At 48.1% G+C, this 15,327-nt stretch overlaps 1 annotated feature.

The window, feature by feature from the left end:
• Positions 10,406-10,935: an enhancer, noted in NCBI's record as "NANOG-H3K27ac hESC enhancer chr20:5008813-5009342 (GRCh37/hg19 assembly coordinates)". NCBI's record gives its function as "activates a minimal SCP1, AML or CMV promoter by ChIP-STARR-seq in naive H9 embryonic stem cells {active_cell/tissue: H9 hESC(naive)}" and the evidence as "EXISTENCE:reporter gene assay evidence [ECO:0000049][PMID:30033119]".

The raw sequence follows: 15,327 nt of genomic DNA on the forward strand, positions 1-15,327 counted from the left end.
TAAAGGTTTGTTTGTGAGTAATTTATAAAGGAAAGGCTCCCAAGAGAAACTGGTAAAGGGAGTGTCTTTCTTGCTGCCTTGGATGGTCTTGAACTCCTGGACTCAAGAGATCCTCCTGCCTCCCAGAGTGCTAGAATTACAGGCACGCGCTGCCATGCCTGTCCTGGTAAGGGAATTTCTCACAGTAAGGGAAAGTAGAATAGGAAAGGAGAAGGAGCTAAAAGGAGGGTGATGGGCCGGGTGTGGTGGCTCACATCTGTGATCCCAACACATTGAGAGACCAAGGCAAGTGGATCACTTGAGCCCAGGAGTTCAAGGCTGCAGTGAGCCATGATTGCACCACTGCACTCCAGTCCGAGTGACGGAGACACCTTGTCTTAAAAAAGAAAAAAAGAGAGATGGGTGATTTTAGGTAAGGTCTCAGCCTTAGCCTGATCTGCATGGAGTTCTGGAGAATAAATTGTATCTCCAAGTTTGTTCCTACTCAAGGCAAGGGAGCTGGGCCTCATATCACAGCACTTGTCAGTCAAGACAAGTAACACAGTAAGACAGTAAGCTCCTAGCCTCTTTGTGTTTTTAGGCAGAGCAGTTCCAGTAGCCTGAGGACAATTCTTCAAAGAGAATATAGATGTAAGCCTTTGGAAGCAAAAGCCCAGAGAATCCAGGGTGGTGACCCACAGAAGTGGTCATGGGACCTTTCAGCATGTGGAGGGTGCACCTGGAGTGTCCACTAACACTCCATGTAGGCATTTAAAATGTTTCTTAGGGGTCAGGCTCGGTGACTCATGCCTGTAATCCCAGTACTTTGGGAGGCCGAGGCTGATGGATCACCTGAGGTCAGCAGTTCAAGACCAGCCTGGCCAACATGGCAAAACTCTGTCTCTACTAAAAAATAAAAATAAAAAAAATTAGCCAGGCATGCTGGTGGACGTCTATAATCCCAGCTACTCAGAAGGCTGAGGCAGGAGAATCACTTAAACCCAAGAGGTGGAGGTTGCAGTGAGCCAAGATCACACCATGGAGGGTGGAGACGTGTGGGAAGAGACAGATGGAAAGAAGACTACTGAAAAGGTTAAAAAAAAAAGTATGGGTGGGAAGTGAGGAATTAATTCTGTGGCAGTGGGGACAGACAGGAGAGCCAGACTGGAAAAAAACCCAGCTATACCAGCTTGGAAAAGTTACTTAGCCTCTCTGGGCATCAAATTATTCACCTGTGAAATGGGTCAATTACAATAATAGTGAAAAAATAATAATAGTAAGGCCGAGTGCAGTGGCCCATGCCTGTAATCTCAGCACTTTAAGGCCAAGGTGGGTGGATCACCTGAGGTCAGGAGTTCGAGACCAGCCTGGCCAACGTGGCAAAACCCCATCTCTACTAAAAATACAAAAATTAGCTGGGTGTGGTGGCATGCACCTGTAGTCCCAGCTACTTGAAAGGCTGAGGCCGGAGAATCGCTTGAATCAAGGAGGTTCCACTGAGCTGAGATCACGCCACTGTACTCCAGCCTGGGCAAGAGAGTGAGACTCAGTCTCAAAAAATACAAAATATTTTTTAAAAATGATAATGGTAGTGACATTTATTGAGCACTTTACTGTGATCCAGCTACAGACTGTTCCAAAGACTTTGCAACTGTTATTTTTGCTTAATCCTCACAACAACCTATGAGGTAGGCACATTTATTGCCCCCATGTGACCAAGGGAGACTGAGGCTCAGGGAGGTTAATAATTTGCCTAGGCACAGTGGCTCATGCCTGTAATCCCAGCGCTTTGGGAGACCCAGGCAGGCAGATCACTTGAGCCCAGGAGTTCAAGACCAAGCTGGGCAACATAGCGAGACCCTGTCGCTACAAAAATTACAAAACAAATTAGCCGGGTGTGGTGGTGAATGCTTGTAGTCTTAGCTACTTGGGGGGATGAGGATTGCTTGAACCCGGGAGGTTGAGGCTGCAGTGAGCCATGTTCAAGCCACTGCACTCCAGCCTGGATGACAGAGTGAGACCCTGTTTCAAAGTAAAGAAATAAATAAACAACTTGCTTGAGTTCCCGCAGGTAGTCCTTTCCCCAAAAGATTGTAGGAAACACTAAATGGCAGCCATAAATAATAATTATTGGCTGGGTGCAGTGGCTCACACCTATAATCCTTGCACTTTGGGAGGCCAAGGCAGGAGGATCCCTTGAGCCCCAGAGTTTGAGACCACCATAGGAATTATAGTCCTAAGATCCCCATCTCTATTGATCTGGAGCTATTTTCACTAAGCTTTGAAATTTCCCATCAACCTCAATCTCCATCAACACACACTAATCCTGCTGACTTTGTTCTCATTCTCGCCGCCCTTGTACTCCCCTCCCCTCCACACTCCCCTTCCCTCCATGAATACCTGACTTCTGCCACTCCTCAGCCCCCTCTAAGCTCTTTCTCAAAACTACCCTCTAAGGCCAGCACCGTGGCTCACCCCTGTAATCCCAGCACTTTGGGAGGCCGAGGCAGGTGGATCACTTGAGATCAGGAGTTCAAGACCAGCCTGGCCAATATGGTGAAACTCTGTTTCTACTAAAAATACAAAAATTAGCAGGGCATGGTGGTGCATGCCTGTAGTCCCAGCTACTTGGGAGACTGTGGAAGGAGAATCGCTTGAGCCCGGGAGGCAGAGGTTTCAGTGAGCCAAGATTGCGCCACTGCACTCCAGCCTGGGCGACAGAGCAAGACTCCGTCTCAGGAAAAAAAAAAAAAAAAGAAAGAAAGAAAGAAAGAAAAAACACCCTCTACTCCTTTGATTCAACAATATCAATAATTTCCCCATTTTATTAACAGATACTATTTACTGATGCCATCAATGTTGGCAGAGCGCTTACTTCCAGTTGGGGACCGTGCTAAGCCCGGTGGTACCTAAAGTCCTTGCTCTTTAGGAGGTTGCAATTAAAATAGAGTTAGGGACAAGTCAACAAATACAAAAGAGAGATCATTGCAAATTGTGACTTAGGAATCAAATGGAGCAGGATGGCAGTGAATACAGGTGGGTACCATGTTTGGTGAAGCATCAGGGAAGGCCTCTCTAAGGAGGCACCTTGGTCCTGGGACCAAGAAGAGGCAGGTGTGCAAAGACCTTGAAACAGAGCAGAGGGAAGCATGAGTCAGAAAGCCCTAAGGAGGAAACGCAAGGTTCCCAGCCCGGTGCCATGTGCTTTACACAAAACTTTTCCTTTTCCTGCTAGTAAATCCCGTCCTTTCCGGGAGTTAATACTCCCTTTCAATCTTGGCTCCTCTCTGCTTCCTGCAGGTGGGGCACCACAGTAGCTGCCCAGAGCCTGGGAGGGTCAGCCATAACCCAGCTCCGAAGGTACAATAACCACCCTTTTTTGAGTGTTACTATACTCAAACATAGAGCATGAGTGTTACTACACTCAAACATAGAGCACGAAGGCCTTAGGCCAACAAGAAGTTGTGGCCAGTGGGTCAAAGCCCAAGAACAGTCTTCAATACTATTAATATTTAATTTTTTTGTTGAAGCTCAATTTATGCATCTGGATGAATTTCTATCCCTGTATACACCCATGAGACCACCACCGTGTTCAACATATAGTGTTTCCATCACTCGAGAAATTTTCCTCATGCCTCTTCCCAGTTAGTACCCTCCTGAGAAGGTGGTCATTTTTTTTTTTACACTTTTCTCCATAGTTTTGTGTTTGTTTGTTTGTTTGTTTTGAGACAGAGTATCACTCCGTCACCCGTGGGCAGATCACGAGGTCAGGAGTTCAAGACCAGCCTGGCTAACATGGTGAAACCCCGTCTCTACTAAAAATACAAAAATTAACTGGGGCTGGGTGAGGTGGCTCAGGCCTGTAATCCCAGCACTTTGGGAGGCCAAGGTGGGTGGATCACGAGGTCAGGAGATGGAGACCATCCTGGCCAACATGGTGAAACCCCATCTCTACTAAAAAAATACAAAAATTAGCTGGGCGTGGTGGTGCATGCGCCTTTAGTCCCAGCTACTCGGGAGGGCGAGGCAGGAGAATCGCTTGAACCCAGGAGGCAGAGGTTGCAGTGACCCAAGATCATGCCATTGCATTCCAGCCTGGGCAACAGACCCAGATTCTGTCTCAAAAAATAAAATTAAATTAAAAAAAGAACAAAGACATTCTCCTATGCAACGGCAGTATCACACACAGGAAATTTATCATTGTTAAATTAGCACTGGTCTCTAATATTCAGTCTACATTCAAATTTCTCCAATTGTCCCAATAATGTCCTTTGTAGATTTTTTTCTTTTCTTTTCTTTTTTTTTTTTTTTTGAGACGGACTCTTGCTCTGTCGCCCAGGCTGGAGTGCAGTGGCGCAATTTGGGCTCACTGCAAGCTCCGCCTCCCGGGTTCATGCCATTCTCCTGCCTCACCCTCCCAAGTAGCTGGGACTACAGGTGTCCGCCACCATGCCCGGCTAATTTTTTGTATTTTTAGTAGAGACAGGGTTTCACCGTGTTAGCCAGGATGGTCTCGATCTCCTGACCTTGTGATCTGCCCACCCGGGCCTCCCAAAGTGCTGGGATTACAGGTGTGAGCCACCGTGCCTGGCCGATTTGTTTTCTTTTTGGTCCTGAGTCCAATCAAAGATCGCCTGTTACATTTAGTTGCTATGTCTCTTTAATATCTTTTAATCTGGGCAGTTTCCTTACCTCTCTTTTTTTTTTTTTTTTTTTTTTTTTTTTTTTTGAGACAGGATCTTGCTCTGTTGCCCTGGTTGGAGTTCAGTGGTGCAATTTTGGCTCACTGCAACCTCTGCCTCCCAGGCTCAAGTGATTCTCCTACCTCAGCCTCCCAAGTAGCTGGGACCACAAGCACACGTGCCACCATGCCTAGCTAATTTTGTGTTTTTTGTAGAGATGAGGTTTTGCCAAATTGCCCAGGCTGGTCTGGAACTCATGAGGTCAGCCTGCCTCAGCCTCTCGAAGTGCTGGGGTTACAGGCATGAGCCACCATGCCAGGCCACCTCTTTTTGATGTTGATGTGTCTGAAAACTCCAGGTAACTTATTCTGCAGAATGTCGTTCAATTTGGGTTTGTTAATGTTTACTCATCATGATCTAGATTAAATATTTATGACAGGAATCAAGGATGTGATGTCATATCCTTCCCAGTGAATCGTATCAGGAAAAATTATTGTTGTTTTGTTTCATTATTATTATTTTAGAGACAGGGTCTCTCTCTGTCACTCAAGCTAGGTTGCAGTGGCACAGTCACAACTCACTGCAATGTGTATGTTGTTCGTTTGTTTCTTTGTCTTATTTATTCATCTTTTTTTTTTTTTTTTTTTGGAGACAGAGTCTCACTCTGTTGCCCAGGCTGGAGTGCAGTGGTGCGATCTCAGCTCACTGCAACCTCCACTTCCCAGGTTCAAGCGATTCTCCTGCCTCAGCCTCCCAGTAGCTGGGATTACAGGTGCGTGCCACCATGCCCAGCTAATTTTTGTATTTTTACTAGAGATGGGGTTTTGCCATGTTGGCCAGTCTGGTCTTACTGACTTCAGGTGATCCGCCCACCTCAACCTACCAAAGTGTTAGGATTACAGGCGTGAGCCACTGCGCCCAGGCTTTATCTTTATTTATTTATTTTTAGAGATGGGGTCTGACTCACCCAGGCTGGCCTTGAACTCCTGGGCTCAAGCAATCCTCCTGCCTAGGCCTCCCAAAGTGCTGGATTACAGGAATGAGCCACCACACCCTGCTTTGTCTCATTATTGATGATGCAAGGCAATTACTTTTTTTATTTTGATAAGATATATCATTTTAACCTTTTTTTTTTTTTTTTTGAGACTGAGTTTCACTCTTGTTGCCAGGCTAGAGTGCAGTGGCGCGATCTCGGCTCACTGCAACCTCCACCTCCCAGGTTTAAGCGATTCTCCTGCCTCAGTCTCCCGAGTAGCTGGGATTACAGGCACCCATCACCATGCCCAACTAATTTTTTGTATTTTAAGTAGAAACCAGGTTTCTCCATGTTGTACGGGCTGGTCTTGAACTCCTGGCCTCAGGCGATCCACCTGCCTCGGCCTCCCAAAGTGCTGGGACTACAGGCATGAGCCACCGTGCCCGGCCCATTTTAACTATTTTTAAATGTACAGTTCTGTGGTGTTAAGAACATTCACATTGTGATGCAACAATCACCACCATCCATCTCCAGAACACGTTCATCTTCCCCAGCTGAAATTCTACCCATGACACATTAACTCCCCATGTTCTCTCCCCACCAGTCCCTGGCAAGCCCCTTCTACTGTCTCTATGAATTTGATGACTCTAGGCACCTCATACAAGTGGAATCATATAATATTTGTCTTTTTGTAAATGGATGATTTCACTTAGCGCAACGTCCTCAAGCTTCATCTGTATTGGAGCACGTTCCTTGCCTTTTAAGGCTGAATAATATTCCACTGTATGCATATATCATATTTCATCAATGTGTCCATCGATGGACACTTGGGTTGCTGTCACCCCTTGGCTATGCTGCTGTGAATGTGGGTGTACGCATATCTCTGAAAGACCTTGTTTTCACTTTTTTGGGGCATGTACCCAGAAGTGGAATTGCTGACTCATATAGCAGTTCTATATTTAGATTTTTGAGGAATTGCCGTACCATTTTCTGCAGCAGCTGCACCATTTTATGTTCCCATCAGCAATGCACAAGGGGTTCAATTTCTCCCCATTCTTGCCAACACTTATTTTTCTATTTTCTATAATAGCTAGCCTAGTGTGTGTGAAGTAGCATCTCATTGTGGTTTTGATTTGAATTTCCCTAATGATTAGTAACGATGACCATCTCCTTATGTGCTTGTTGTCCATTTCTGTATCTTCTTCTTTTTTTTTTTTTTTTTTTTAATTTTGAGACAGGGTCTCACTTTGTCGCCCAGGCTAGAGTGCAGTGGTTTGATCTCGGCTCATTGCAACCTCTGCCTCCAGGGTTCAAGAGATTCTCCCACCTCAGCCTCCCTGGTAGCTGGGACTATAGGCATGCGCCACCATGCCCAGCTAATTTTTGTATTTTTAGTAGAGACAGGGTTTCACCATGTTGGGCAGGCTGGTTTCGAACTCCTGACCTCAAGTGATCTGCCCGCCTTGGCCTCCCAGAGTGCTGGGATTATAGGCATGAGCCACCGTGCCCAGCCATTTTTCTATCTTCTTTAAAGAAACACTGGCCAGGCACGGTGGCTCACACATGTAATCCCAGCACTTTGGGAGGCTGAGGCAGGCAGATTGCTTGAGCCCAGGAGGTTTGAGACTAGCCTTGGTAACGCGGTGAAACTTCTTCTCTATACAAAATACAAAAACTAGCTGGGTGTAGTGTGTGCCTGAAGTCCCAGCTACTAGGGAAGCTGAGATGGGAGGACTGGTTGAGTCCGGGAGATAGAGGCTGCAGCAAGCTGTGATTGCGCCACTGTACTCCAGCCTGGGTGACAGAGTGAGGCCTTGTCTCAAAATAAATAAATAAATAAAAATAAAGAAACATCTGTTCAAGGCTTTGCTTTTTTTTTTTTTTTTTTTTTTTTGAGACTGGCCTGGCCTTGTTGTGTTGCCCAGGCTGGCCTCAAACTCCTGGGCTCAAGCAATCCTCAGCTTCCCAAGTAGGTGGGACTACAGGCGCATACCACCATGCCTGGCTTCTTTTCTTTGTCTACTTTTGAATTGGATTGTTTGTTTGGTTGTTGAATTGTAGGATTTCTTTATATATACTGGATATTAATATTTTATCAAATACATGTTTTGCAACTATTTTCTTCCATTCTGTGAGTTGTCTTTTCACTGTCTTGTCTCTTGTTGTGTGGTTTTAAAAATTTTTTTAGGCCGGACACGGTGGTTCACACCTGTAATCCCAGAATTTTGGGAGGCCGAGGCGTGCAAATCACAAGGTCAGGAGTTCGAAACCAGCCTGGACAACATGGTGAAACCCCATCTACTAAAAATACAAAAAATTAGCTGGGTGTAGTGGCGGGCACCTGTAATCCCAGCTACCTGGGAGACTGAGGCAGGAGAATTGCTTGAACCCAGGAGGCGGAGCTTGCAGTGAGCCGAGATCACACTGCTGCACTCCAGCTCGGGCGACAGAGTGAGACTCCGTCTCAAAAAAAAAAAATGTTTTTTAGAGACGGAGTCTCTGTCGCCCAGGCTGGAGTGCAGTGGTGTGTGATCATGGCTCACTGCAGCCTGGTTGAACTCCTGGGCTCAAGCGATCCTCCCACCTCTAGTTGTTTTCTTTTCTTTTCTTTTCTTTTCTTTTCTTTTCTTTTCTTTTCTTTCCTTTTCTTTTCTTTTCTTTTCTTTTCTTTTTTAGATGAGGTCTTGCTCTGTCACCTAGGCTGAAGTGCAGTGGCATGATCCCGGCTCCCTGCAGCCTTGACCTCCTGGGCTCAAGCGATCTTCCTGCCTTACCCTCTGGAGTAGCTGGCACTACAGCCATGTGCTACCATGCCTGGCTAATATATATATATACACACACACATATATATATGTATATATGTATATATATGTATATATGTATATATATGTGTATATATATATGTGTGTATATATATGTATATGTATATAATATTTTTTAGTTTTTGTAGAGATGAGGGTTTGACTAGGCCCATCTGGAACCCCTGGGCTCAAGTGATCCTCCCACCTCAGCCTCCCAAAGTGCTGGGATTGCAAGTGTGAGCCACCGTGACCAGCCTCACCCTCTCTCTTTTTTTTTTTTTCTGAGACACAGCCTCAAGAAGTCCTGAGAACATGTGCCTTCTGGCCCCACTCTCTTGATAGTGTTTTTTGATGTACAAAACTTTTTAATTTTGATGAAGTCCAGTTTATCTATTTTTCTTTCGTTACCTATACTTTTAGAGTCCTATCTATGAAATTATTGCCGAATCTAACGTCATAAAGATTTTTTTCTAAGTGTTTCATAGTTTTAACTGTTATGTTTAGGTCTTTGATCCATTTTGGGTAATATTTTTGTATATGGTGTTAGGTAAGGATGCAACTTCCTTCTTTTGCATGTGGATATCCAGTTTTCCCAGCACTATTTGTTGAAGAAACTGTCTTTTCTACATTAAAAGGTAGTGGCTCCTTTGTTGAAAATCAATTGATCGGCTCTCTCTCTCCCTCTCCCTCTCCCTCTCCCTCTCCCTCTCCCTCTCCCTCACCCCACGGTCTCCCTCTCATGCGGAGCCGAAGCTGGACTGTACTGCTGCCATCTCGGCTCACTGCAACCTCCCTGCCTGATTCTCCTGCCTCAGTCTGCCGAATGCCTGCGATTGCAGGCACGCGCCGCCACGCCTGACTGGTTTTGGTGGAGACGGGGTTTCGCTGTGTTGGCCGGGCCGGTCTCCAGCCCCTAACCGCGAGTGATCTGCCAACCTCGGCCTCCCGAGGTGCCGGGATTGCAGACGGAGTCTCGTTCACTCAGTGCTCAATGGTGCCCAGGCTGGAGTGCAGTGGCGTGATCTCGGCTCACTACAACCTACACCTCCCAGCTGCCTGCCTTGGCCTCCCAAAGTGCCGAGATTGCAGCCTCTGCCCGGCCGCCACCCCGTCTGGGAAGTGAGGAGCGTCTCTGCCTGGCCGTCCATCGTCTGGGATGTGAGGAGCCCCTCTGCCTGGCTGCCCAGTCTGGAAAGTGAGGAGCGTCTCCGCCCGGCCGCCATCCCATCTAGGAAGTGAGGAGCGCCTCTGCCCCGCCGCCCCATCTGGGATGTGAGGAGCACCTCTGCCCGGCCGAGACCCCGTCTGGGAGGTGAGGAGCGTCTCTGCCCGGCCGCCCCGTCTGAGAAGTGAGGAGACCCTCTGCCTGGCAACCACCCCGTCTGAGAAGTGAGGAGCCCCTCCGCCCGGCAGCTGCCCCGTCTGAGAAGTGAGGAGCCTCTCCGCCCGGCAGCCACCCCATCTGGGAAGTGAGGAGCGTCTCCGCCCGGCAGCCACCCCGTCCGGGAGGGAGGTGGGGGGGGGTCAGCCCCCGCCCGGCCAGCCGCCCCATCCGGGAGGGAGGTGGGGGGTCAGCACCCCCGCCTGGCCAGCCGCCCCGTCCGGGAGGGAGGTGGGGGGTCAGCCCCCCGCCCGGCCAGCCGCCCCGTCCGGGAGGTGAGGGGCGCCTCGGCCCGGCCGCCCCTACTGGGAAGTGAGGAGCCCCTCAGCCCGGCCACCACCCCATCTGGGAAGTGAGGAGCGTCTCCGCCCGGCAGCCACCCCGTCCGGGAGGGAGATGGGGGGGTCAGCCCCCCGCCCGGCCAGCCGCCCCCTCCGGGAGGGAGGTGGGGGGGGTCAGCCCCCCTGCCCGGCCAGCCGCCCCGTCCGGGAGGTGAGGGGCGCCTCTGCCCGGCCGCCCCTACTGGGAAGTGAGTAGCCCCTCTGCCCGGCCACCACCCCGTCTGGGAGGTGTGCCCAACAGCTCATTGAGAACGGGCCAGGATGACAATGGCGGCTTTGTGGAATAGAAAGGCGGGAAAGGTGGGGAAAAGATTGAGAAATCGGATGGTTGCCGTGTCTGTGTAGAAAGAAGTAGACATGGGAGACTTTTCATTTTGTTCTGCACTAAGAAAAATTCCTCTGCCTTGGGATCCTGTTGATCTGTGACCTTACCCCCAACCCTGTGCTCTCTGAAACATGTGCTGTGTCCACTCAGGGTTAAATGGATTAAGGGCGGTGCAAGATGTGCTTTGTTAAACAGATGCTTGAAGGCAGCAGGCTTGTTAAGAGTCATCACCAATCCCTAATCTCAAGTAATCAGGGACACAAACACTGCGGAAGGCCTCAGGGTCCTCTGCCTAGGAAAACCAGAGACCTTTGTTCACTTGTTTATCTGCTGACCTTCCCTCCACTATTGTCCCATGACCCTGCCAAATCCCCCTCTGTGAGAAACACCCAAGAATTATCAATAAAAAAATAAATTAAAAAAAAAAAAAAGAAAAAAAAAGAAAATCAATTGATCATAAATACAAGGGTTTATTTTGGGGCTCTCTATTGTCTTCTGTTGGTCTCTATGTCTGTCCTTATGCCAGTATCACACTGCTTTCATTACTGTGGCTTTGTAGTAAGTTGTGAAATCAGGAGGTATGGGTCCTTCAACTTTGCTCTTCTTTTTCAATGTTGTTTTGACTATTTGAGGAATGCAGGTACTTTTTAAATAGGACTCCTAGAGGTACCAAGGAAAGGATGATCTATAACAGCTGCCGCTTACATACTTTAGGAAGAATGTTGCGGCTGTGTTTGGCCCATCTCATGGGTCTGGTGACCCTACTGTCTTGTCTGTACTAAGAAGTATGAATAGAATGCATGGTCTGATAAAGGTAAAAGCATTACGTTACATAGTTATATGCTATACATATTTAACTATTAAAACATACAAAATAGGCCAGGTGTGGTGGTTCATGCCTGTAATCCTAGCATCTTGGGAGGCTAAGGTGGGAGGATCACTTGAGGTCAGGAGTTCGAGACCAGCCTGGCCAACATGGCAAAACCCCATCTCTACTAAAAATACAAAAATTGTCCAGGCGTGGTGGCGCTTGCCTGTAATCCCAGCTACTGGGGAGGTTGAGGCAGGAGAATTGCTTGAACCCGGGAGGCGGAGGTTGCAGTGAGCCGAGATGACACCACTGCACTCCAGCCTGGGCAACAGAGCAAGACTCTGTCTTGGAAGAAAAAAAAGAGAGAGAGAAGAAGAAAAAACCCTACAAAATAGCATGGAATCAGAGATCTGAGATATCTGGTCTCTGTACGCACACATAACTTCAGTTTATCTGAACACTTCTGCTTGTTTCTGTTCTCTGCTCTCCTGACCCACCTCCTACCTTCGTTTTCCTGCATTCAGATGCTACATGCAAGTCATTTTTATCTATTTTTTTCCCCTGCAGACCATTTTTAAAACTCTGTGCTGTAATTGTACTGATTAAAATCAAGGGGGCCAGGTGTGATGGCTCATGCCTATAATTCTAACACTTTGAGAGGCCAAGGTGGGCGGATCACCTGAGGTCAGGAGTTCGAGACCAGCCAGACCAGCCAGACCAGCATGGAGAAACCCCATCTCTACTAAAAATACAAAATTAGCTCGGCGTGGTGGCAGGCGCCTGTAATCCCAGCTGCTCTGGAGGCTGAGGCAGGAGAATCACTTGAACCCGGGAGGTGGAGGTTGCAGTGAGCTGAGATTGCGCCATTGCTCTCCAGCCTGGGCGACAAGAGTGAAACTCCGTCTCAAAAACAAACAAACAAACAAACAAACAAAAAACATAAGGAATACATTCACCTGGTTCCAAATTCAAAGGTAAAAAGGCCCAGGATGAAAGTTTCCGTAGCATCCCTGCCTCCTTCCTGCCAATTTCCCCTCTCTGGCAACAACCATTCTTACTGCTTTCTTGTATTTTCTTCTAAATACATATATTTATACGTGTACATTCTTGAGCTGGATGCAGTTCAATAATGAATTCTAGCAACTCAGAAGGCTGAGGAGGGAGGACGACTTGAGCCCAGGGGTTCAAGGCTGCAGTGCAGGAGTTCACACCACTGCATTCCAGCCTAAGTGACAGAGCGAGACCCCAGCTCTAAAAACAAAACAAAACAAAAATATTCTGTTGCATAGCCAAGTAAAAAGAACTTCCTGACACAGCAATAGGGCAGCGCATGCTGTGGCTGCTCTCCCGGCACCTTTGCAGTGTGCTCCTACAGATTTTCTCCTGCCGGCAGGTATGCACCTGCCCCTGCCCCAGAGGGATTGATGGGAACTAGGAAGACCCTCAGCAGCCTTGTGGCAGGCAGTGAGTGGGGGTGGGGGTTGAGATTACTCCCATTCTGGAGTGCCTGCATCCAAGCTCTCAGGAGGTGGCATCTTAACACCCTGCTCCCCTGCCCACCCCTCTGGCGAAATAACTCTGGGAAGCCAATTCTATGCTGGTGCCCAACGCATCTCCACCAGATTCAGCTTCAGTTGCTTTCAGTAGTTATTTATTGGATCACCCACCTGTTATTGGCCGCCTTCCCTTCCCTGTCTCACTTCCCCATTCCTTTCCTGCTGTTTAGCCAGCTCACTTCCCAAATTAAGTACTTGCTCTCGAATCTTTGTCTGAGTTTGCTTTGAGAGAAACCCAAAGGAAGGCCCATGTATGCACTGTTCTATACCTTGCTTGGTTCACTTAACATGACTTGGAGATACTCCCCTATCCCTACACCAAGGCTTCCTCATTCTGTTTTTTTTTTTTTTTTCTTTTGAGACAGGGTCCCGCTTTATCACCCAGGCTGGAGTGCAGTTGCACAATCAGGGCTCACTGCAGCCTCAACCTCCCAGGTTCAAGCGATCCTCCTTCCTCAGCCTCCTGAGTAGCTGGGACCATAGGCACGTGCCACCATGCCCAACTAATTTCTACATTTTTTGTAGAGATGGAGTTTCACCAAGTTGCCTAGGCTGGACTCAAACTCCTGAGCTCAAGTGATCCACCTGCCTTGGCCTCCGAAGTGCTGGGATTACAGACATAAGCCTCATTCTTTTTAAGGGCAGCACAATATCCCCTTCTGTGGACGTGCGTAAGAACTGGGCTCCGGAGCCAGATGGCCTGCAAGTCATTCTTCATATCTAACACGGGACCAGCCATCCTTCCGCAGAGGGCGGCCTGCTTTCCCTCCACCTTTTTTACTTTCATCATTGCCCCGGGCACCTCTTCCTGAAATCTGGGAGGCTTGCCTAACTCGTTCCCATACTCTTGCACATAGTATGTAAATTACCACATCTACAGACTGGCACTCCCAGTTGCGTCTGTCTTACCTAGAGTTTATTTGTCCTTTGCTCTTTTTTCCCTTCCCTCCCTCCTTCCTTCCTATTATCTGCCCACTACCCTGATCCTGGGTTAGAAGAACAAAAGTTTGAGAATTCTCTTTTCAGTTTTTTAATTTCTCAAAGTTAAACATAATTTTAAACATTGGCTGTTAGGATTAAAAAGTTAGGAGATTTCACATTGGAATCTGGATTTTATGCGTCTCTTGAAAAATCAATGCTGTTTCATGATAGTCTCAATAAAAAAAAGAAAAAAAATTAGGCTGGGTGCGCTGGCTCATGCCTGTAATCCCTGCACTTTGGGAGGCCAAGGCGGGCAGGTCACCTGAGGTCGGATCACCTGAGGTCAGGAGTTTGAGACCAGCCTGACCAACATGGTGAAACCCCAATTGTACTAAAAATACAAAAAATTAGCCGGGCGTGGTGTCGCGTGCCTGTAATCCCAGCTATTCAGGAGGCTGAGCCAGGAGAATCGCTTGAACCTGGGAGGCAGAGGTTTCAGTGAGCCGAGGTCTCACCACTGCACTTCAGCCTGGGCAACAGGAGTGAAACTCCATCAGAAAAAAATCATAAGTCCCAGCAATGCCTCTGTTCTGGCGTGACCACAGTCACAATCTCCTGGGCCAGAGCTAAGGATCCCCTGTCCCCTTGGGGTGGGGGCATCTCTCAACCATTCACCACTCCCCACAAAGAGGCCTCCTCACTTATTTATGGGACCTCCCTAGCCCAGTAGGTGACTGGATGTGAAACGCCTGGTTCAGGTCCTTATTAATGCAAACTTGAAGTATTTATTTAATTATTTTTTTGAGACAGAGTCTTGCTCTGTCGCCCAGGCTGGAGTGCAGTGGTATGATATTGGCTCACTACAGCCTCTGCATGCCGGGTTCAAGCAATTCTCCTGCCTCAGCCTCCCAAGTAGCTGGGATTACAGGCGCCTGCCAACACACCCAGCTAATTTTTTTTTTTTTTTTTTTTTGAGACAGAGACTCACTCTGTCATCCAGGCTGGAGTGCAGTGGCACGATCTTGGCTCACTGCAACCTCCACCTCCTGGGTTCAAATGATTCTTGTGCCTCAGCCTCCCGAGTAGCTGGGACTACAGGCGCTCGCCACCATGCCCAGCTGATTTTGTTTTGTATTTTTAGTAGAAATGGGATTTCACCATGTTGGCCAGGCTGGTCTTGAATTCCTGACCTCAAGTGATCCGCCTGCCTCGGCCTCCCAAAGTGCTGGGATTACAGGCGTGAGCCACTGTGCCTGGCCTAATTTTTGTATTTTTAATAGAGACAAGGTTTCTCCATGTTGGCCAGGATGGTCTTAAACTCCTGACCTCAGGTGATCCTCCCACCTTGACCTCCCAAAGTGCTGGGATTACAGGTGTGAGCCACCAAGCCCGGCCAAGCTTGAAGTATTTCTATTACTTAAAGTGAAAATGCAGATCCTAATTTCGGCACTTTGGGAGGCTGAGGCAGGAGGATCACTTGGGCCAGGAAGTTCAAGACTACAGTGAGCTATGGTGGCACCACTGTGCTCCAGGCTGGGCCACAGAGCAAGACCC

The sequence above is a fragment of the Homo sapiens genome, chromosome 20 (assembly GCF_000001405.40).
Source record: "Homo sapiens chromosome 20, GRCh38.p14 Primary Assembly".
Taxonomy (NCBI): Eukaryota; Metazoa; Chordata; class Mammalia; order Primates; family Hominidae; genus Homo; species Homo sapiens.